Source organism: Homo sapiens, chromosome 9 (genome assembly GCF_000001405.40).
Source record: "Homo sapiens chromosome 9, GRCh38.p14 Primary Assembly".
NCBI classification, from domain to species: domain Eukaryota; kingdom Metazoa; phylum Chordata; class Mammalia; order Primates; family Hominidae; genus Homo; species Homo sapiens.
Window position 1 is genome coordinate 107,646,471 of NC_000009.12, and position 24,676 is coordinate 107,671,146.

A 24,676-nucleotide genomic window follows, 5' to 3' on the forward strand; every position below is an offset into this window, starting at 1 on the left:
TTGTCTGGGTGTAGTGGCTCACGCCTGTATCCTCACACTTTGGAAGGCAGAGGTGGGAGGATCACTTGAGCCCAGGAGTTGAGACAAGCCTGTACAACTTGACCAAACCCTGTCTCTACCAAAAAAATACAAAAATTAGCTGGGCATGGTAGCATGCACCTGTAGTCCCAGCTATTCAGGAGGCTGAGGTGGGAGGATGGCTTGAGAATGGGAGATGGAGGTTTCAGTGAGGTGAGCTGAGATTGTGTCACTGTACTCGAGCATGGGTGACAGAGCCAGGCCCTGTTGCAAAAGCAACAACAACAACATCTTTTTCTCTGCATATGACTGTATGGATATTTTATTTCTCTACCTATAGTCAGTCACATGTAGAGAGAAAGACAGTTGGGTTGCTCACCCATGGGTTCAACCAAACATGGCTTAAAAAAAAATTTTTTTTTTTTTGAGATGGAGTCTCGCTCTGTAGCCCAGGCTGGAGTGCAGTGGCGCGATCTCGGCTCACTGCAAGCTCTGCCTCCCAGGTTCACGCCATTCTCCTGCCTCAGCCTCCCAAGTAGCTGGGACTACAGGCGCCCACCACCGCGCCCAGCTAATTTTTTGTATTTTTAGTAGAGACGGGGTTTCACCATAAAAATATTTTTTTAAAAACCATCTTTACTGAACATGTACAGATTCTTTTTTTCTTGTCATTATTCCTTAAACAAAATAGTGTAGCAAACATAGTGTAACAACTACTTACATAGCATTTACATTGTATCAGGTATTATAAGTAATCTAGAGATGACTTAAAGTACATGGAGGATGTGGTTAGCTTATATGGCAAACCAAATTTTATGTCAGCAACTTGAGCATCTGTGGATTTTGGTATCCTCCAGAGTTTCTGGGACTAATCCCCCATGGTTACCGAGAAATGACTGAACAGCTCTTGGAACAGTACCCTGTAGATGTTAGCTATTTTTAGCTCTTCTTGGAGAAACCAAGGAAGACTTTCTAGAGGACACAGAGCTGGGATTTAAAAGGTGGATATGGGATACATCTGAGCAAGGGCATGGCTAGGAGGAGGGCTGGCAAGCACAGAGGCGAGGAGAGACCCCTCCTGGTATGTTGGGCTGCTCCATGTAGTGTAGCATCCTGTAGGGAAAGCAATGAGAGATGGGGTTGGAGGAGCTGCCAGGGCTGGTTCATGGAGAGCTGAGCATCTGAGTTAGGAGCTTGGTCCTGTAGATCAGTGCTGCTTAAACTTGAGCATGCATCAGAATTATCTAGAGGGCTCATTAGAACACACGCTGTTGGGTCCCACCCTTAGAGATTCTGACCCAGTCGGTCCGGGGTGGGGGTTGAGAATTTGCCTGTTGAGCAAGTTCCCAGATGACACTGATGATGCTAGTCCAGGGAACATCTGGAAACCATCCCCCTCCACTGCAGGTGGAGAACTTTGATAACTCCTGCTGTAGATCCCATAGGCAATGGGAGGATTGAGCCAGGTTCAAGGGCAGGTCTCAGGAAAAATGCACTCGGTCTTGCTACTGCTGAGGCCGCATGAGCAGCCACCTGAGACCAGAATGGAAGAGTGTCTAGAGGTGGAATAGCTGGGGCTGGCATCCTCTGTTCTCTGAGAACGGCTATAAGCCAATTTTGTTAGTAGACCCGGTGGAAGCAGAACTCAGTAGGCATGCTCCAAGGGCAGGGTGGCAGCTGGGTGCCACTCCAGGCCACTTCACCCTTGATTTTCTGCCTTTATTAAGGGTAGCCATGGAAAGGGTGACCTACTTCCTGGGGATCCCAGGGATAGACATCTGAAATCCAGACAGCAAAAGGAAACCTCTTAACTGCTGCTCCTCCAGACCCACGGCCCATGGCCTGACGCCTACCTGGGTCCCTGTCAGTAACTGCGGCGGCAGCTTCCTGGATTGCTGAGGCGGAGAGGACACCGATCAAGGCTTCATCCCACCCTCTCTCTCTGTCAGTGCTGGGGGAAAAACAATATTTAGTTAGTTAAACACCCGGCTGCGGTTTCATTTGAAAAGCTGGATTTGATTAGGAGACTGCAGGGATTGATTTATGAGGACAGCTGAAAAAAAGAACAAGCATAAATATGGAGAACTCACCCAAATGATGACTAAGAGAGGACGAATATACAGAGTCCTCACAAGTGGAGACGGAAAGGACTTATTAAGGTTTTTGGTCCCATATCGGGTTTATGTAGTCACAGTTCCTGACGGTATTTTTCAAGATCTCAGCCTAGACCTGTTTTAAGTCAAGGGGTACATTAGGTGTGGAGGTGCCCACTTTTCCTAGGAGATTTCCACCTCTGAAAGAAATAGTTTTTCATATATATATAAAATGGATATATTGTATGATATATTGTAAATGAATATATTCTATATAATGATATGTAATATATATGACATAAAAATATATATGAAATATATATTTTTTTCTTCCTGTAGCAGCCTTGTAAAGGGATATTCACTAATGCATTGTTTGAAAATGAAAAATTGGAAACAGTCTAAGCTGTCCATCACTGGGGGGGATGATTAGATAATGGATCACTTACCCAGACTGTGGAATTGTTAAGGGGTGGTTTACAAAGAGTGCTGTAGTTCTGGGTCTGTACATGCAGTGATCTCGGGTGCAGGCAGTAAGATTCAGGAGAACATGTAGGGTTGGTCCCTTTAATATAAAAGCAGGCCAGGTGCAGTAGCTCATGCTTGTAATCCCAGCACTTTGGGAGGCTGAGGCGGGTGGATCTTCTGAGGTCAGGAGTTTCAGACTGGCCTGGCCAACATGGCAAAACCCCGTCTCTACTAAAAATACAAAAATTAGCTGGGCATGGTGGCAAACACCTGTAATCCAAGCTACTCTGGAGACTGAAGTAGGAGAATTGCTTGAACCTGGGAGGTGGAGGCTGCAGTGAGCCAAGATCGTGCCACTGCACTCCAGCCTGTGCAACAGAGTGAGACTCAATCTCAAAACAAACGAACAAAAAAAACAAACAAACAAAATAAAGCACACACACACACACAGAGTCACATATTTCTCCTATGAACAAATATGGGGATAAACTCATAGCCGAAGGCTTGGAGGGATGCACATCAGAATTAGGAGAGTGGTGGGATGGGTGAGTTTCAAGGGAGGTTTCTGCTTTGTATGTAATGTTTGAGTGTTTGCTTTGAGATGTATTGATGTATTACTTTTATAATTAAAAAATGATTAAAAACATAAGCAAATCTTTCCCTGAACTCCTATGGGAAGAATGACGAGAACCGCAGCTCCGGCCCCTCCATACCTTTCCTCAGGACCTCGGCAGTGTCCTTTGCTCTTCAGCCCATAGGATCTATCTCTTGTCTTTGGGTCCTACTGGTGCCCACATGCTCCAGAAGTCCCTCCCCCGGCCTGCCCTCCAAGACTTAACCTGGCCTTGACCTGAGCGTCATGTCAGTGTCACCCATGTGACTGGCCTCACCTCGTCTCACCTGAGCCCACACAAAGCTACTTCCTGGGGCATCTTCAAGAAAGCCCCCAGGGCTCCAGCTCTCCTCTTGGACTGGCTCTTGTAGTTTGGCATGACCCCCTTTTCCTTACCTCCCTCTCTACCTCCCCTCCTTCTCTCTACTGGAGCAGAAGAAGTGGGGGTGAGACCACATAAGCCACACCATCACACAAGGACACCCTCCAAGGTCCCACCCCACTGGGGGTCTCTGCACAGCCCCAGCCTACCTCCCTTTTTTCCTTCCCAAGATGTAACGCTTGTCTTACTGGCCCACTGCCTAGAAAGTGATGGGCAGTTGTTAACTTCTGCACTGATTCCAGAATCTCATTCCTGGGAGGTCTGGCCTGGTGGTGCCCACAGGTCAATGGTGGGCAAAAGAGAGATCTTCTGGGACACTCATGGGATCATGTTTTTCCACTTCCCTCAGTAATCTAGCCAAAAAGCACACAAGCTGAAAGCGCCTCGCTTTTGTCATTTGTAAGCTGAGAAGGCTGGCTCTGGTGGTTTCAGAACTTGCCTCCAGCTCTGACATCCAGTGTTTCCTTGCATGCCTTTGTTGGTGCTCACCTCTCCAGTGTGGCTCTTGGACCATCTGTCTCATTCCAACAGCAACCCTGTGGAGCAGGCAGGGCCGCTCACATTTTCCCCGTCCTACAGTGTATGGAGATAGCCTGCAAAGACAAGGCTTAGAGATGTCAAAGATGGCCCAAGCTCATTCAGCTGGTATCAGAGTCCTGGGCAGGAATTTGCACAGAAAGGTCTTCAGAGAGTCTATTCAGAAGTAAGAGTTTCTCTGGTGGGTAAGAGGAAAAGGATCACCCAGGCAGGGAAAGAATTGCATAAAGGAATTGGGGGTGAGAGGACGGGAGCATGGTGATTAGCTCAATGAGGCTGCAGCAAGGGAGTATGAAAAGGAATTGGATGGAGAGGTCATTGGGACACCTTTCCGTCTCCTTATAAATAAGTCTACCTCAAATACTTCCTCCTCCAGGAAGCCTTCTGGCAATGGTGTACTGGTAAATGTTAAACACTCATTATCTTTCCAAAAATGAAATAAAATAAAAAGCCTTTATTTATAGTGTTGGCCAATGACCCCCTCCAGTCTGATATCAAGTTAGCAAAGTGAAGTTACTGAATGCTCAGGAAAAAATACACAGTCAGCTCTGGGAAGTAAGTAAGTGCCACCTCGAGCACACCACAAGGTTACTAACTCTTCTCTCTGCCCCGAAACTTGTGGTGGCCTCTGTGGCTTAGCAACTATCACATAGCTGAAATCATCTGTGTATAGGTCTCTTACATGAGACTGTGTGAGTTTTTAAAGGTTAGCACCCATGTTTTGATTAAAGGGTTTAATGATGATTAAGTGAATTGAACCTATTATTAAAATGTGTGAATACATATAACACGCTTAGAAGTGCTCATATAAGTGAAAGCTATGCCTACTAGCTGTTACCTTTGTCTCCCAGTAAAGGCCAGAAGCACCAAGATGTCTGTTGAAGGGATGAATTAATTCTTAACCTAAATGGGTACCCAAGCTCTGTTTTCCTTATTCTTCTTGTTTTTACAGATTATTTCTTTGCTGAAAATAAATTTTTAATTTTTTTTTTTTGTAAAGATTAGGGTCTTGCTATCTTGCCCAGGCTGGTCTCAAACTGTTGGCCTCAAGTGATCTTCCCACCTTGGCTTTCCAAAGTGCTGGGATAATAAGCTTGAGCCAATAGGCCTGGCCTGTCCAAAATAATTTAGAATTCTATGCAAGTTTTTGTTTCATGGTGAAAACTCTCTCACCAAATTCTTTTGGACAACAAGGGCCCTCCCAATCCATTCTGTCAACACTGGCACAATCATGGTGGGGTGAATTGAATTTGGATTCTGATGGAGGCTTCTCACTTTTTTTAGCTGGGCATCTGAGTGCTGTACCTCTCTGAGCCAAGTTTCATTATCGGAAAAAGGAAGACATGCCATCAACTTCCATGGGGTTAATGAGACCAGTAAACAAGTTTTGGAGCTGCACCAGTTGTCCTGTTCGTTTCCCATCCCCATCCCCATGTTCTACCCTTCCCTGCCCTTCTCCGTTGGTGCCTGGAAGTCGACTGCGACAGCACTCCTTGGCCTCAGCCATCCCCTGGAACTTAGCTAGTGGGAATAGCGGCAGAAGATTGGGGGCATGTGGGAGGAGAAAGACGCTCCCTTCTGGCCAGGCACTGTGGCTCACGCCTGTAATCCCAGCACTTTGGGAGGTCGAGGCAGGTGGATCACGAGGTCAGGAGATTGAGACCATCCTGGCTAACATGGTGAAACCCCGTCTCTACTAAAAATACAAAAAATTAGCCGGGCGTGGTGGCACGTGCCTGTAGTCCCAGCTACTCGGGAGGCTGAGGCAGGAGAATCACTTCAACCTGGGAGATGGAGGTTGCAGTGAGCCAAGATCACGCCATTGCATGCCAGCCTGGGCAACAGAGCGAGACGCCATCTCAAAAAAAAAATAAAATAAGGCTCCCCTTTGCTTCAGCTTGGTCTGACCAATGATACATCACACATCACAGCCTCCACGATCCAGCTCCAGCTCCCAGTGGTGGCTGCCAATCTCCTTGGGCTCCAGCTCTTAGCCAGGCATAGGGTTGAGGAGGAATTAGGTCTTCAGCCTTCTTAGTCCCAGAGTGTCTCAAAATACATTGTTATTCCATGCAATCCTACCCAGACCTTGACAAATAGTCCCTTTAATATAATTTATTTTAAGTATCCCAGACCAGTATGTCATCTGCTTTCTGCCAGTACCTGGACAATATCAAATCTGGTGTCTGGGCTGTAAGAGAGGTTTAATAATAATAACCTGAGCAGCCAGTCTTTATTCAGGATTTAGCTTGGGCATTATGGCCAGTCATTTTTCTGTTTCAGTTTTTTTAAGAACCATTATATCATTGAATCTTCACAAAGGCGCTGTGTGGGAGATATTAATTATTATACCCATTTTGCAGATGAGAAAAGTAAAGCTTTAAGGTGTTAGTGATTAGCTAAGTCATCCAGCTAGTATGCAGGGGAATCAGGATTCAAATTAGTTGATGTTAATAATACTGTTATTTGGCGAACAGGGACCAAATCTTAGACTCTGACTCTCACTGCAGTCTTGTACCCAGAAGTGCTCGGCAGACACTCGCTGATGGATGGAGGCTTGTAGTTCAGAGCCCTAAGTTTCTGCCTCATCTGTGTTTTCCGGGAGTTCTCCCTGTGGCTTCAGGGCCACACGTGCCTCTACAGACCCTTGCTTCTTGTTCAGAGAGTGTCTGGGCTGCTGTGTTCCCAAACAAGCCCTGGGGATGGAGTTTTTCTTTCATTACTTCTTGCCCATATTTCTACACACTCTGAGCTGCCAGCACAGCCTCCTTGTTCCTCCACCCTCCTGGTCACTCATGCCCACTGGTGTTTACAATACGCCTCCAGCATCTGTGGACTTCATTACAGCCTGTGCTACACCCTCTTCCTGCTCATCGGTGCAGACTGCATGAGGCCAGACTGAACACAGCTCCCCAGGGTGCCTGCCAGACACTTCCACCAGCCCTGCCAGATTCCCTTCTCTGGGGACAGCCAGCCAACCTCTAATCCAGGTGTCTCTGCAGGATAAACATTCCCCATGGGGCACCAAAGCCATATTCTGTTCTAGCCTGTGCTATAGTTAGCACTATTTGGAGAGTGACTTAGAGCATTAGTTTTGGAGTCAGGAAGACCTGCCACTTAGTAGCGCTGTGATCTTGGTTCAGTAGACTAACTTCTCTGACCCTCGTGTTCCTAGTCTGGAAAACTGAAGATAAATAGAGTTGAGAAATGGGATTGTTCCATGGAAAGCACCTGGCTCATCTTAGGCACAGAATTCATTCTCTCTTCCTCCTAAAGACCACTCTGGGGATACTAACGAGCAAGAAGTAGAGTACATTTGTCATTTATTTGCTTATTTTTGTAGTGCTCTTGACTAGGTGTTGATATATTATCAGAGATTATAAACACAATTATCCCCATTTTATAAACATTCCAAGTTCAGAGAGCTTAAGTTAATTTGCTTATATTCACCCAAATAACAGGTTGGGTTTACCATTGACCCTAATTTAAACTGACTCTCTATTTTTAATTTTCTCTTGTCATTTTTTTTTTCAGAAATGAAAAGAAACAACTAAGTGATATTCGCCTAAATGAAACTGCCTGTATTTCTTGTAAAAAGATAGTCGCCTTTGCTCTCTGCACTTTTTTTTGTTTGTTTGTTTGTTTTTTGAGACAGAGCCTTGCTCTGTTGCCCAGGCTGGAGTGCAGTGGTACGGTCTTGGCTCACTGCAACCTCCACCTCCTGGGTTCCAGCGATTCTTGTGCCTCAGCCTTCCCAGTAGCTGGGATTACAGGCGTTCACTACCATGCCCAGCTAGTTTTTATATTTTTAGTAGAGATTGGGTTTCGCCATGTTAGCCAGGCTGGTCTTGAACTCCTGGCCTCAAGTGATCTGCCTGCCTCAGCCTCTCAAAGTGCTGGGATTACAGACATGAGCCACCCCACCTGGCCTATTTTTCTTTATCCAGATATTCTCTCATGAAAGTAGTTGTCATTTGTGACTCCATAATCTCATTATCTAGTTTTCTCTGCTCCTTGGATGAGCTGAACTTTCCAAGCCCTTTTTGAGATATTGCCTATCAAGGATGAAATGCAGGAAAGTCATACTCTCAGTGGACTGACATGGGAGTGTTTATTCCGTAGGACTCAAGTCAGGACTTGGGTTGGGGCTAAAGTCGGGGATGGTCTGGATGACAGAATGAATTTGACATCATTGTCATTGTTATGCATTTTCTCCTTATTAAGCTCAGAAGTTGAGGCATGTTTAAGAGTTTCTTTCTTCTTATATCATTGTTTTATTTGAGAATTTAAATAGGGCTGTGAGCTTTCACTCACCACCATATTATGAGCTCCCTGCTGGGTCTCACTGATCTCTGAACCTTGTATGGCCCCTTCTACAGTGCTTTGCATACAATGGCGGACAAACTTGAATGAACGAACATTTATGGAGCACTCTATTGTTCTCTATATTATTCTGTTTGCTTGCATGGATAGCGGTGGACACTGGTTCTGAACCTGATTGGACCTTCCGGCTCTACATGTAGTGCTTTCCTCACACTTCAGCTGTCCGGCAATATCTCTATCAATGATGGTTGTTGAGCAAGATTTGTCTTTTCTTTTAAAGACTGCCAGTGATGTCATATATGGTGTTGGGGGAAGGAAGGTGAATAAGAAATATATAGAGAGGGCTGGGCGTGGTGGCTCAGGCCTGTAATCCCAACACTTTGGGAGGACGAGGTGGGTGGATCATGAGGTCAGGAGATTGAGACCATCCTGGCCAACATGGTGAAACCCTGTCTCTACTAAAAATACAAAAATTAGCCAGGAGTGGTGGTGTGCACCTGTAGTCCCAGCTACTCAGGAGGCTGAGGCAGGAGAATCACTTGAACCCCGGAGGCAGAGGTTGTACCACTGCACTCCAGCCTGGGCAACAGAGTGAGATTCCATCTCAAAAAAATGTATATATATATACAGATATATATACACACACAGAGAGAGAAAGGCAATTTTGGAAGGAGGGTGAGTGAAGCAGGCATGATCTCTCTTCACAGACAGGATTATAACGAGCCTCAGTTGACTGGGTGGTTCCCTCGGCATGTGAGAGTAAAGAGGTTGAAAGAAACCAATGTGTTATCATGGGAACTGTCCCAGTTTTATAATCTTCATTTATTAAAAGGGCTGAAAATGAACACATGGAGAGCAGGGAAAATTCAGTGAATGGGAAGTAATGCAGGCTAATAATTTAAATACAAGTTTTGAAGTGGGAAATCAGAGAGTGGAGAAATATTTTGAGGAGTCTTTGAGCTGCTCAAATTGCTTTTCCTGGTTAAGAAATAATTGGCTGCAGGTGAGGAAAAGAATTACGGTTCTGTATCTGAAAAAGATGCATTGAGGTTAGTGCTTCTTGGCCAAAAAGATATCAACCAAGGAGCATCTCAAGGAGAGGGGGAACGGTCCTCTGTGCAGGATGGCCACTTGTCTGAGCAGGAGATGCCTGACAGAGCTCCTGGAAGGTGAAAGGACCTGAGGTGAAATTGTTGATGGAATTAGTCTGATTGCAAAAATGGTCACAAATTATTCCCCACCCTGTATGTATATCCCTGTGTGATGTAACAGCAATTCCTCTCATCAGGAGGTGACATCTATTTCTCCAGCCCTACCATCTTGCCTTGGCCATGATTCCAACATGTGACTTATTTGGTCAGTAAGAGAGTAGCAAATGTGATGCAGTCAGAGGCTTGAAAAATGCTTCAGGTTGAGAATTGCCTTCTCCTGATGCCCTTGGTTACACTGCAACCACCAGCACATGAATAAGCCCTGGGCAGCCTGCTGGATGACAAGAGACACATAGCCCAGTTGCTTCCATCACCCTGCTGAAAGCCAGATGTCTGAGGCTGCTGATGGCCAGCAGATCTCAGGTAAATGAGGGGGCCCAGTTGATTCCACATGGAATACATGAGCTGTCACAGCTGATCCCCACTCAAACTGTTGACTCTCAGAATCATACACAAATAAACAGTTGTTGTGTTGAACGCTAAGTTTTGGGATTATTTGTTATACAGCAAAAACTAACTGATGCAAAGTATACGCAACAGATGGCAAGCAGCAAGTAGGGAAAGAAAAATGCACTTGACATAGGTGTAGATCAGGAGTTGGCAAACTATTGCCCATGAGCCAAATACAGCCCACCACCTCCTAGGAAGTCATCCTGAAAGTCAAATTATATAAAACAGTGCATAAAAATATATATAGAGAGAAGGGTAATTTTGGTGTTAAAGATTATTTACATTTAACATTTTTATAAACATTCTCCAATTGCCTTCCAGAAGCTGTTTTGACTTATACTCTTACCAATAATGATTAGAGAAAATAGACACTATTGATGTGTAACATAGATCATTTCATCTCCCAGAACACAGAGGATGCAACTAGAGGAACAGAAATAAATTTATCTTGCAAGGAGGAACTGGGTTAACCTTGGGAGAAATTGACCATGTCATTTTAGAGTTCCTGATAGTCTAAGGGAACAGTGAAGGTGCTGTTTGGAAGACAGGTTCTACAAAGCTCTTCAGAGGCTGAAAAGATAAGCCCAATCTAGGCTGATGAGATATCAATAGAGATTGATGTCAATTTCTGCATCTGGGCTCAAGTAAACAATAGCATTAACACATGGTGGGAACCCAGTGACTTCAACACCACGAGGTGTGAAAAAGACCAGGGAGCTCAATAAGAATCAGCAGTGGGGTGTGCCTCCATCAATGCTAGTCACACTATTGGCTGCTTGGTGAGTGCTCCCTTCTACTCTGGGCTGCTGAGACCATATCCACATCACTGGGTTCCATTCTGGCTACTGTACTCTGAGGGGGTGAAAATTACCTGGGTGGGAGAAGGTGCTTTTGAGGAGAGAATGTAGGATGCTGAAGGACTCCAGTTCATTTCATTTGGAGAAATTTTGAATGTGCCAGGAAGCCTTAATTTAGAGAAGACTCAGAAGGGACGTGAAAAGCATTTTTCAGTATTTGTGTTTTACAGTAAAAATATCTTTGTTATTTTTTAAATTATAAAATTATAGATAATACAAAAAGGTGAACACAACGAAAAAAAGGTAAAGAAGAGGCTGGGCTCAGTGGCTCACGCCTGTAATCACAGCACCTTGGGAGGCCGAGGTGGGCAGATCACGAGGTCAGGAGCTTGATACCAGTCTGACCAACATGGTGAAACCTAGTCTCTACAAAAAATACAAAAATTAGCTGGACATGGTGGTGCACACCTGTAGTCCCAGCTACTCGGGAGGCTGAGGCAGAAGAATTGCTTGAACTTGAGAGGCAGAGGTTGCAGTGAACCAAGATCATACCACTGCACTCCAGCCTGGCTGACAGAGTAAGACTCCATCTCAAAAAAAAAAAAAAAAAAAAAGTAAAGAAGAAAAAACAATTATCTTGAATTGTATTATATAAGAGGAATATTACTGATATCTTGATGAACATTGCTCTAGACAGCACACTGCAAATACATGCACATACAATATACATATAATTTTACATAAAAGGTGATATGGTTTGGCAGTGTCCCCACCCAAATGCCATCTTGAATTGTAACTCCCACAATTCCCACATGTTGTGGGAGGAACCAGATGGGAGGTGATTGAATTATGGGGGCAGATCTTTCCTGCACTGTTCTTATGATAATGAATGAGTCTCACGAGACCTGATGATTTTAAAAACGGGAGTTTCCCTGCACAAGCTCTCTCTTTGCCTGCTGCTATGTGACTTGCTGTAAGATGTGACTTGCTCCTCCTTGCCTTCCGCTATGATTGTGAGGTCCCCCAGCCATGTGGAACTGTTAAGTCCATTAAACCTCTTTCTTTTATAAATTGTCCAGTCTCGGGTGTGTCTTTATCAGCAGTGTGAAAGCAGATAAATACAGAAGGTGTAATATTAATTTTTTAATTACTCAACATTATGTAATGGACATATTTCAGTGTCAACTAGGTTATCACATTTAATAGCTATTTAGAATTTCATTGCATGTTTTGACCATAATTTATATAACCAATTTCCTATTAATAGAAATTTAACTGTTGGGTGGCTCCTGCCTATAATCCCAGCATGTTGGGAGGCTGAGGTAGGTGGATCACCTGAAGTCAGGAGTTCGAGACCAGCCTGGCCAACGTGGTGAAACCTCATCTCTACTAAAAATGCAAAAATTAGCCAGTTGTGGTGGCTCACATCTGTAATCCTAGCTCCACGGGAGGCTGAGGCAGGAGAATTGTTTGAACTTGGGAGGCGGAAGCTGCAGTGAGCCAAGATTGCGCCACTGTACTCCAGCCTGGGCAACAGAGTGAGACTCCAATCCCCACCCCCACCCCCCCAAAAAAGAAATTTAACTGTTCAATATTTTTGCTATTACAAGTGAACAATTAGATCAATATCCTTAACTTACATCATTGTTCATTTGGCTAGTTATCTTAGGATAAATTCCTAGGAGTAAAACTTCTGGATTTAATAGTTACACAATTAAAATTTTGATGTTATTAAACTGTCCTCCAGAAAGATTAAATCAATTTGCACACTGTGATGATCTTGTTTTTATTTATATTTTTATAGCACCTTGGTGCATTTGAATATATATATATATATATTTTTTGACAGAGTCTTGCCCTGTCGCCCAGGCTGGAGTACAGTGCTATGATCTTGGCTCACTATAGCCTCTGCCTCCCAGGTTCCAGCAAGTCTCCTGCCTCAGCCTCCTGGGTAGCTGGGATTACAGGCGCATGCCACCACACCCAGCTAATTTTTGTATTTTTAGTAGAGACGTGGTTTCACCATGTTGGTCAGGCTGGTCTCGAACTCCTGACCTCAGGTGATCTGCCTGCCTTGGCTTCCCAAAATGTTGGGATTAAAGGCGTGAGCCACTGCACACCAGCCTGAATATTCTTTTATATGTTTAGTACCATTGTATTTCTTATTTATTTATTTATTGAGACAGAATCTCACTCTGTCGTCCAGGCTGGAGTTCCAGGGTAGGATCTCGGGTCACTGCAACCTCTGCCTCCCAGGTTCAAGCGATTCTCCTGCCTCAGCCTCCCGAGTAGCTGGGATTACAGGCACCTGCAACAACGCCTGGCTAATTTTTATATTTTTAGTAGAGGTGGGGTTTCACCATGTTGGCCAGGCTGGTTTTGAACTCCTGACCTCAAATGACCCACCCGCCTTGGCCTCCCAAAGTGTGGGAGTTACAGGCATGAGCCACCATGCTCGGCCTACCATTGTATTTCTTAATTTATGAATTTCCAGTTAATACTTTTTGCCCATTTTTCTGTTGAATAAATTTGTGTAAGTTTTTTGTAAGTGTAATGACATTTTATCTTTTATATATGTTACACATACATTTTTCCCCCAGTGTGTCAATTAAACTTCTTCATGGTCATTTGCTTGTTTGTTTTGGTTAATCGTTTTTGCTTATTAAAGTTTTCAATTTTTACATAGCAATTCTATTCATTCCTTTCATCCTTCATTATATGTAATGGTTGTCATATGGAAGAGGATTAGACATCTATGAAGAAGACAGAATCAGTCCAATGGGAGAAAGTTGCAGCATGGCAGATTTTTACTAAAATAACAAACAACTTTCTCCCAATTAAGACTGTGAGATACGGAATACGCTGTCTCGCAGGTAGTGAGATCTCCATAATTAGAGGCTGTTAAGCATGAATTGCATGACCACCGACAGTGATGCTGTACTGGATGAGGCCATATGGCCTCTGGCATCCTTAATTATTTACAAGGCAGATTTTTAATGGAATGCCAATAATGTAATTCTAATTGTTTTTCCCAGAGAACTTTTTTCAAAACTGCAACACCATGCAAAATTTGGGGTTTCCAGGAGCAGCTGGACCAAAGTTGATGTGGCAGATCAGGCAGCACTAAATGAAAATAGCTCAGAACCACTGAAAATTATAAGAAAGCATACCAGGACATTGTTAGTGGTCATATGCTTGTCATTCATGAGTTTTACTTTCATCACCATGCATCACCTTCCAGCCACAGAAATATCCACTGAACCATACAAAGCTCATAGGAGTTGACCTCTCATAACTGGGAATGCAGGTGGATGTAGGCAAAACTGACTTCCTAGCATAAGTCAATTGTGGGCATGGCCAAGTCTTTTGAGAGTAACAGAGCAAGGTGGTGCCAGGCATGAGTATCGAAGCAATCTAGTATAATACTGCTATTGTAAAATTGGTAGAGCTGAATTACATAAAGGAGAGGAAAGTTCTCACTAAATAAGTCTCAGAATAGGATAAGGCCCTATGAGTCTTAATCCATCTCACTATATAGTTATTCCCTTTTTGACCTTGCGTTACTACTGCTTGATAGGCAGAATTGGAGAAAATAGGGTCAAACTTAGACCTGCAAGAATGCTTTTACTTTCTATGAATATAAAGTAATTGAATGAATAATTACATAATTGAATGAATTATTACATTCATTCAATAATGTATAATGAAACACTATGATGTGCAAAGCATTGGGAATTCAGCAATGAACAGGAAAGATAGCAGTTCACAGCCTAGAGGGGAAGCCACCTTTAAACAATTAATGACATCATAGGTTGTGAAAGATACAAGGTGCTCGGGTCGTTCACAGCCATGGCACTGAAACCTGTCCAGGATATCAGAAAAGGCCTTCTGGAAAGACTAAAATTAAAGCAGAGATTTAAAGAAGGAGGAAGAGGTGCTGCCCATGAGAAGGGAGGACAGGAGAAGAGAATAAAATATGGGGCTGCACAAGTATTTCAGGGGAATAAAAACACCTGTAAAAATCCAAAGCCAGAGAGAAATTTAGATTCACGCCTCTCTGGAGTGGTATTAGGCTGTTTCTGATGCATGTGATGTAGTAGCAAGAACCAAAATTTAAAATGAGAGTTTGGCTGGAGTTTGGTTCCCAGCCTTGCTAGTTCCTGAGCATATGACCTTGGCAAATAACATAATCTGTCTTCAAATAACATAATCTGTCTTGACCTCAAGCTTCTCATCTGCCAAATGGCGATAATAGCACCTGCTCCACAGGTTGCTGTGAGAATGGAATTAGCTAATAGATACAAAATTTTGGTCAGTGTGGGGCTAGGTTTTAAATAAGCCTTACTGAAGCTGTCAGTGACCAAAATCTATTCTTTTCACCTAGCCCAAATCTTTCTTGCTATCTGTGAATATACATCAACTGGATTGGTTCAACAGAGTTTTACTCAGTTTCTACTTTGGGTCATTGTAGATTCAGGCACTGTGAGAATATGAAAGAAGTGTGCCACAGGGATCGAAAAGTAGAAGTTAGTTTGGAAGAGAAGGTTAGTTTAAAGAGGTGTTTGTCTCTTAGTGTTTTGTTGTTTTTTTTTTTGATTTTTTTGAGACGGAGTGTTGCTCTGTCGCCCAGGCTGGAGTGCAGTGGTGCGATCTTGGCTCACTGAAACCCCTCGCTCCCAGGTTCAAGTGATTCTCCTGCCTCAGCCTCCTGAGTAGCTGGGATTACAGGCACCCGCCACCAAACCCAGATAATTTCTGTGTTCTTAGTAGAGACAGGGTTTCACCATGTTGGCCAGTCTGGTCTTGAACTCCTGACCTCAGGTGATCCACATGCCTCGGTCTCCCGAAGTGTTGGGATTACAGGCGTGAGCCACCGTGCCCAGCCTATCTCTTATTTTGTATGTATATCTTCAACTCCATCTGGTCTACGAGCTTCCGCAGGAAAGGATCTATAAAATAGGTCCTCTCTTTAATCCCAGTAAGATTCCCAAGTGTCTGATTTAGAGTAAGTGCTCAGCAAATCCCAGTTAAATAGAACAATGAAAGTTTGGGAATTTACAGCAGATTTTAAACGGTAGCAAACACATACATAGATTAGAGGGGTTATCAGAAGGAAAACCTGTGTAAATCAGGGAAGGTTTATAGAGGTAAGGTTGGAAGGTTCAGCTTTTGTAGATGCTGTCAAAGAACTTTCAAAGTAGTTGTACCTTTTTATTTTTCTACCAGCAATGTATGAGAAATGAATATAGAGGGTACTTTTAGCCTTTTTAATTTTAGCTATTCTGGCAGGAGAGGAGAGATATTCTATCATGGTTTTATTTTGCATTTTCTTGGTGACTAATGATTTTGAGCATCATTCCATATGATTGTTAGCCATTTGAATATCCTTTTTGTAAAGTGTCTGTTCAAGTCTTTTGCTCACTTTCAAAAATTATATTGACTATTTTTATATATTATGAATGCAAGACCTTTGTTGGATTTATGGACTGTGAATCTCTTCTCCGAGTATGTGGGTCAACCATTTACTGTTCATGGTCTCTTTCTATGGAAGAAGTTCTCAATTTTAACAAAAACCAGTATGTCGATTTTTTAAGGGTTAGTTCTTTTTGTGTACTATTAAAGAAATCCTTACCTAATCCAAGATGATAAAGATATATTCCTATTTTTGTTTTAGTTTTATTTTAGGTTTGGGGGTACATTTGAAAGTTAGTTAATGTAGGTAAACTCATGTCATGGGGGTTTGTCTTACAGATTACTTCATCACCCAGGAATTAAGCCCCCAAAATATGGGACGCTTCACAAATTTGCATGTCATCCTTACAAAGGGGCCATGCTAATCTTCTCTGTATTGTTCTCATTTTAATAAATGTGCTGCTGGAGCAAGCACAAACGTTTTTTAATGAAATCTTTTTTCCTCAATCAAAAAGAAATGCATGAATATGGTTTAAAAAATTCAAAGAGTCTGAAGGATAATAAAATTACAACTAAATCTTCTAATTGTCATGACCAAGTTCTCCCCAAAGGCAACCACTATTAACACTTTTTTTATACAGGCTTATAGATATTTTCTAGATATATATTTATAAAAATATATGTATGAATATTCCTTTTACTCATTCACCAAATGGTACATATTAATAAGGCTGTCCTGTACCTTGCTATTTTTGTTCAACAGTGTATCTCAGCGATTTTTCCCTATTGACCCCTTTGAAATGACCTCACTCCTTTTAAAGGCTTGCAGATAATTGTTTTGTATACAAGCTTTATAATTTAAAGCTACTGACCCCTCCTAAAGGGATGAGTTAGGTTGTGTTTAGTCTTTTCTTATGACAAACAGTGCTGCAATAAACATCCTTGTGCATAGGACTTTGTGTGAGCAATGAAATGACTTGTTCCAAGGGTATGGATGTTTATAATTCTGTTAACTCTGGCCAAATTATCAAAAAGGTTATATTGGCTTATATATACTCCAGCAGCATGTGAGGGTGTATTTCCTTTCTCTGGAGGGGTAGAATTTTTTTTCTTTTTTTTTTTTTTTTTTTTTTTTGAGATGGAGTTTTGCTCTTGCTGCCTAGGCTGGAGTATAGTGGCATGATCTCAGCTCACTCTCACTGCAACCTCCGCCTCCTGGGTTCAAGCAAGTCTCCTGCCTCAGTCTCCTGAGTAGCTGGGACTGCAGGTGCCCGCCACCACACCTGGCTAATTTTTTTTTGTATTTTTAGTAGAGACGGGGTTTCACCATGTTGGTCATGCTGGTCTCGAACTCCTGACCTGAGGTGATCCACCCACCTCAGCCTCCCAAAGTGCTAGGATTACAGGTATGAGCCATCGCACCCGGCCGGATTTAAATAAGAAGAGCAATGAAGAGAACACTTTTCATAGAAGGAACAGCATAAACAAAGGCTTACAGTGGAGTTTTCCAACCTCGGCACTATTGAGTGTTTTGGCTGAATAATTCATTGTTGTAAGGACTGTCCTGGACATTATAGGATGTTTAGTGGTATCCCTGGCCTCTACCTACTAATGCCAGTAACAAGCCGCCCTCTCTGCCCCTTAGGTGTGACAACCTAAAATGTCTCCAGACGCTGCCAAATGTTTTGTGGGGGACAAAATTGCACTGGGTTGAGAATCATGACTTAGAGGTTGGGATGATCAGGGGTCAGGCTGTGGGGGGATTTGTGTTTGTGTGTGTGCATATGTCTATACAAGTGCACAGTGAGCACAGGGTAAAATCGAGAAGGCTGGTGGGGTGTTAACCCTAGAAAGCTTCAGAGTTAGTCTGAGGAGAGATGTATTTCTTCTCTTGCTTTCCTCTCCTTTCATAAAAAACCACATGGCGGAAACCCATCCCTTTTTTTTTTTTTTTTTTTGGTTAGGAGAGAAAGCCACACACTAACCCTTCATCCTCTTCGTTATTACTGAGCAACCCAGGGCAGGCGCTTTAAGTGCATACAGGTTGTTCATGATCTTTAGTATCATTGTAATCTCACAACAACACATGGGTGTCCTGATCAACATGCGAAGGGCTGGTCTACAGATGGGGAAATAGAGGCTCAGGGAGAGAAGTTGAAGCCATTGTCCTTTCTGGCCCTTGTGTGGCTGCATGTCTCCACAGCTCTACTCTGACAGGCTTGAGCAGCCGGCTTTGCTGCTGCCATCACTGAAAGCCCAGTATAAAGTCATTTGGATGATTTTAGTCATTATTTCCATCATCTGTTGAACCTCGGAATAGGCTTTAAGTCATTATTCTTTCTCTCCTCACGATTTGGTTTATTTTTGGAAGTGAAATCAATGGATTGTCTTTTGCTTTCTTTCAGAAACCTCTTTGCTGCGTTTCTAACCACACCCAGGAGTAGGCATGTGGTAGATGCTCATGGAATGTATGACAGCCCCTCTCTGGCTCAGTTTCCTAATGGGCCAGATGATAACTACGCTCCTGTACTGTGCAGGTCTCATTGTGTTATTATTAAGTTCACTGCTTGGCAGAGATAACATGTTAACTCATAGTAATAAATAACTATGAATATGTGACTTCAGCTTCTAATACAGTACCTAGTCCATAGTAGGAGCTCAGTAAATGTTTGTTGAATGATGAAGTATATAATCACATGGTTATCTGGGAGCAGTACCACCCAGGCAAGCGGAGCACCTGCCTTAGGTCCTGGGCCTCAGGTGTCTTGCACTTTATTTATTTATTTAATTTTTTTTCTTGAGACAGAGTCTTGCTTTGTCACCCAGGCTGGAGTGCAGTGGCACGATCTCGGCTCACTGCAACTTCTGCCTCCTAGGTTTGAGTGACTCTTGTGCCTCAGCCTCCCATGTAGCTGGGATTACAGGCGTGTGCCACCATACCTGGCTAGTTTTTGTAATTTTGGTAGATACAGGGTTTCATCATGTTGACCAGGCTGGTCTTGAAGGGGTCTTGTACTGTAGAATGCTGTCCTTAACATCTTCTAAGCCCTTCCAGTGACCAAGACTGGCCAAGGCCAGCAGTGCCAACCAGACAGGGTGCTCTAGGCCCAACCTCCACCATGTCAGCCCCTGTCCCTGTTTTCTCTCCTTTGGAATGCTCTTCAATTCGCTTCTTAGTACAGGGGGTCGACCAGATGCCCTAGGAGACCTCTAAGGTTTACACCTATGAGATTGTCTCAGGGACCCCTGACCAGGCCCAATTCCAAAAGGGCTACTGGGAGAAAGGATCTTTACTTCCAGCCAGAGAGTATTTCTTTTGCAGTATCACATGAAGTTGGGTGATCAGAATGCTGCTTAAAGATTGATTTTAGGTAACTCAAATTATTTATATATACAGGGACCCCACAGAAAACATTTGCATAGGCCTTCACATGCCTTAGGGCTAACCATGTCTAATAGATCATCATTCATTCATTCAGGCAGTCATTCAATGAATTCATGCCTTCAACTGACCCCTCAATTAACTAGTGTAGGCCCTATGATAAGTGCTATGCTATTATTATTATTATTATTAGCAGAGTGAACACATGCATCGGACCCCAGGCAAAGAAGTGGAGAACACACCCAGTGTGTGAGTTGGTTAGCAACGTACAGTAGGTCATTCCCACAGAGGACATAACATTGGAACTTAGGTCTTAAAGAACGGCCAGAATTTTTCCAGGAGGGACACGTCATGTTTACGGAGGAGAAAATAATTCTATGGGTCTAAAGGCTGCAGAGAGGGCTGGGAAGAGATGGCACACGAGCTGGAAAGACAGATGTGGCCACAACATGAAGGACCTGTTGTCAGGCTGAGGTTTCTGCACATCTTTTCTGAAGACATTAGAGAGCAATTAAATGTTTTTTAGCCAGGAGGGAGATGGTTAGATATCTAGATTAGAAAGTTCATCCCAAGGGCTGGGTGTGGTGGTTCACGCCTGTAATCCCAGCAATTTGGGAGGCAGAGGCGGGCGGACCACATGGTCAGGAGTTCAAGACCAGCCTGGCCAACATAGTGAAATCCCGTCTCTACTAAAAATACAAAAAATTAGCCAGGAGTGGTGGCAGGTGCCTGTAATCCCAGCTATTTGGGAGGCTGAGGCAGGAGAATCACCTGAACCTGGGAGGCGGAGGCTGCACTGAGCCAAGATTGCGCCACTGCACTCCAGTGCGAGACTCCGTCTCAAAAAAAAAAAAAAAAAAGAGAAAGTTCATCCCAATTGGCTGTGGGCTGTGTGGATATTGGGTTGGAGGAAAGCAAAACAGGAGTCAAGGTGACTCCTCTGGAAGGTCCAGCCAGGTACAAGGCAACCAGCGCCTGGTGAAATGTGGCAACCCCAAGAAAGGAGGGGCTGGGAAGTCACAGATAGTTCCCAAACTCTGAAAGATTCTGAGAAGCAGAGTCAATATCTCCTCTCCACGAGGTTGGCTTCTTTTGTAATCCAGCTGCCTGGCTGAGCACTTTCTCTTTTCTTTCCTTCCTAATCACTTTCCCCTTCTCTCCTAATCTGATGACATGAGACCAGCTGTTGAAACAAGACTCTCTTCTGGATGGAGAGGAAGCTGAAATCAACAGTATCCTAGGCAGTCCATGCTTAGGAAGACCTTCCCAGAAAAGCCTGCAGAGCCTAGGTGGAGGCAGGGATTATGTGTTCAGTCTGCATGGAAAAGCTTCTGGACTTATCCCAAGGGGCTCGGCTGAGCAGTTCAGAGACCTTCAGAGTGGCCTCAGGCAGGTGGCCCCAGCTTCTTCGAGAGCGCAGGAGAGGGGCCTGTGGTTTCTCTTTCATGACATGCACCCACTGCGCTGGTCCGAGAACCCCCTGCAGGATTCGTCTTCGCCCCAGGGTGTATGGATCCCCATCAGGACTGGTTGCATCTCTGGAAATGACCTCAGTCTTTGGAATATTTGTTCTTTTTGGCTTATCAAACAATGTCCTCATTTTGCCAGAGGAAAAGGGAAAGAGACTCTCTGAATGAGCAGGCCATCCTTTGTTCTGGGCCCATAAATCTGGCGCGAGCACATGTCCAGCTTTCCCGCCCCCCACTGCATCATTGTCCCACTGCTGATTAATAGGTCAGAGCTAACTTTAAACTGGCATTTCCTGACCAGCCCCTCTCCCTGCCTTCGACCCTGCCTGGCTGTTCTTTAAAAATCTGCTGTATTTTAGAACATGGTTTCACTCTGTCCCGCGGCCTCCGCCTCACACTGTGTTCCAAGGTGACTGCGTTAAGTCTGGTCAAAGCAGTCTGTGCTATTCCTGAGTTGGCAGAATAAGGGCTGAGGCAGAGGGGTGGGCGCACAGCTGAGTTCGGACTGTCTCAGGGTGTTTGAGCCACCGCTGGCCTATCTAGTCTCAGAAGCACATACCAGGGCATGATCAGAAGGGCTGCGTGGAGAGAGGATGTGACAACAAGTATGACATGGTGTTTTATTTTGCCTTTGTTTTTCTTCATGTCCTGCGACTGTGTGGTGTCTCAACCATGCAAAATAATGTAGAAGAGTGGGTCCCAACATGAAGATGTTCTTGATGTTGACTGAGAAAGGTAGGATACAAAAGTTGAGTATCTCTATTATCTAGCCAGATAGTTTTTATGGTAACTATGTTGTACTTGGTTAACAAGGAGGTATTCCTCAAAAGTGGCTTTAGTTTGAGTTGTCTCTTTTGTTTTGTTTTTGGAGATGGAGTCGGACTTTGTCATCCAGGCTGGAGTGCAGTGGCACGATCTCGGCTCACGGCAAGCTCCTCCTCCTGGGTTCAAGCAATTATCATGCCTCAACTGCCCAAGTAGCTGGGATTACAGGCACGCGCCACCACATCTGGCTAATTTTTGTATTTTTTGTAGAGATGGGGTTTCACCGTGTTGACCAGGCTGGTCTCGAACTCCTGACCTCATGATCCGCCCACCTCAGCCTCCCAAAGTGCTGGGATTACAGGCGTGAGCCACCGCGCCCGACCTGAGCTGTCTCTTAACTCTGGGCTAAGCCACAGCATCTCCACCTATGACTACAACCTCCTGCTTGTCAAGAACCCAGTTAATAAGAATTCCAACGGCATTTCCTACCTTAGGCAGTCAGGCTGAAAACCAGCTCATGGGACAGTAACGGCCACATATTGAAAACCTACTGATATCAGGCTGCAGCAGAGGGAAGCTAAAGCATCTTACGCAGATTATCTCACTTAGGAGTTGCAACAACACATTGTTATCCCCACATTACAGGGAGGACATGAAATTCAGAAGAGGATAAGAAGCTGGTCCACGGTCATACAGCTAGTCCGTGAGAGTGGAAATGTCAATCCAGGTGTTTCTGATGACAGTAGCTGTGCTCTTCCTAGTGTTCTGTTTTCCTGATGGCCAACCTAGGATTCCAAAAACAAAATTACCTTGCAAAATGCTCAAGAAGCAGCCAGGCACGGTGGCTCACGCCTGTAATCCCAGCACTTTGGGAGGCTAAGGGGGGTGGATCATGAGGTCAGGAGTTTGAGACCAGCCCGGCCAACATGGTGAAACCCCGTCTCTACTAAAAATACAAAAATTAGCCAGGCGTGGTGGGGCATGCCTGTGATCCCAGCTACTCAGGAGGCTGAGGCAGGAGAATCGCTTGAATCTGGGAGGTGGAGGTTGCAGTGAGCTGAGATTGTGCCATTGCACTCCAGCCTGGGTGACAGAGTGAGACACCATCTCGAAAAAAAAAAAAAAAAAAAAGTTAAAAAAAAATGCTCAGGAAGCTCAGCGAGAGACAGACCTTCCGCATGTCTGCATCTGCTGGTAACTGAGAGCCTGGCTGGAAGGCCGGGGAGGTTGAAAAAGTGATGAGTTCCGCTGTGCAGCCACAGGGGTATCCCTTACACTCAATGAATATGCCTCTTTTACTTCAGCTTGGGGTCTGAGACAACTGCGTACTTCTGGACCCCTAAGCCTTTCACAGTAGTGACATCAAGGATAATGAAGCGCACAGAGCTCTCGTGGCCTGTTTCTCTGTTTTTCCCCCACATTGTCAGCTGCCCAGGAAAATGGATTCACCGTAAATAAACAGGCTCCCAAGCATCCAACAGAAACAAACAATGAGTGACATTGAGCAAATCTAGTTAGTATCTTCAAAAATCCTGGTTTTGGGAAGCCCTAATTCCTTCCACATTTCAATCACTGGACTCTTGGAATTAATAGTGTTCTAGATTGGTGGCACAAAAGACTGAGATACACTGAAATCACTCATGAGACATTTTTTTAAAAAGGCAAAATAAAACAATCTGTTATCCTTGTCACACACCCTCTTTCTGTGCAGTCTCCCAGTGGTGTTTAGGTGTGATCATCCAAGATGAGATGTGCCAGAGTTACTATTGAAACTTTTGAAATTATGATATCCAAAAAGAAAAATACAAAAACCACCCTCAATCTCATCACAAAGATAAATCTGTTGTTGACATTTTGGTGTATTTTTCTGTAGTGTGTGTGTGTGTGTGTGTGTGTGTGTGTGTGTGTACACATCTATCCATAGGGCCAGACAATAGATACACCATTATGCCTTCGAATCCATGAGGCACTGGTTCTAGGACCAAAATCCACAGACATTCAAGTTCCTTATCTAGATAAAATGGTGTAGTATTTGCATATATCCCATGCGCATCCTCCCATATACTTTAAATTATCTTTAGATTACTTTTAATACCTAATACAATGTAAATGCTATGTAAATAGTTGTTATACCATATTGTTTAGGGAATAATGACAAAAAACTCTGTATGTGTTTAATACAAACAAGGCCATCCTTTTATTTATTTATTTTAATTTTGTTTTTTTTTTTTTTTTTTTTTTTTTTTTTTTTTTTTGAGACGGAGTCTCGCTCTGTCGCCCAGGCTGGAGTGCAGTGGCGCAATCTCGGCTCACTGCAAGCTCCGCTTCCCGGGTTCACGCCATTCTCCTGCCTCAGCCTCCCGAGTAGCTGGGACTACAGGCGCCCGCCACCGCGCCCGGCTAATTTTTTGTATTTTTAGTAGAGACGGGGTTTCACCTTGTTAGCCAGGATGGTCTCGATCTCCTGACCTCATGATCCACCCGCCTCGGCCTCCCAAAGTGCTGGGATTACAGGCGTGAGCCACCGCGCCCGGCCTGTTTTTTGTTTTTTGTTTTTTGAGATGGAGTCTCTTTCTGTTGCCCAGGCTTGAGTGCAGTGGCATGATCTTGGCTCACTGTCACCTCCGCTTTCCAGGTTCACGGAATTCTCCCTGCCTCAGCCTCCCGAGTAGCTGAGATTACAGGTGCCTGCCACCATGCCCAGCTAATTTTTTTTTTTTTTTTTTATGGAGTCTCGGTCCCATCACGCAGGCTGGAGT

At 44.0% G+C, this 24,676-nt stretch overlaps 1 long non-coding RNA gene and 1 pseudogene across 1 annotated transcript in view, besides 1 other annotated feature; one reads left to right on the forward strand and one right to left on the reverse strand.

The window, feature by feature from the left end:
• LOC105376205 (uncharacterized) overlaps positions 1-18,857 on the forward strand; it is a 98,539-nt gene extending 79,682 nt beyond the window's left edge. Inside the window, exon 9 of the long non-coding RNA XR_930217.2 lies at positions 18,707-18,857. This is a non-coding gene — a long non-coding RNA (uncharacterized LOC105376205). The remainder of the gene's footprint in view (positions 1-18,706) is intronic.
• Positions 3,413-3,585: a silencer, noted in NCBI's record as "fragment chr9:110412164-110412336 (GRCh37/hg19 assembly coordinates)". NCBI's record gives its function as "represses an EF-1alpha promoter that drives an FKBP-Casp9 reporter gene in an ReSE screen in HepG2 liver carcinoma cells {active_cell/tissue: HepG2}" and the evidence as "EXISTENCE:reporter gene assay evidence [ECO:0000049][PMID:32094911]".
• Positions 16,670-16,776, reverse strand: RNU6-996P (RNA, U6 small nuclear 996, pseudogene; annotated as a pseudogene).
• Positions 18,858-24,676: the final 5,819 nt, after the last annotated feature.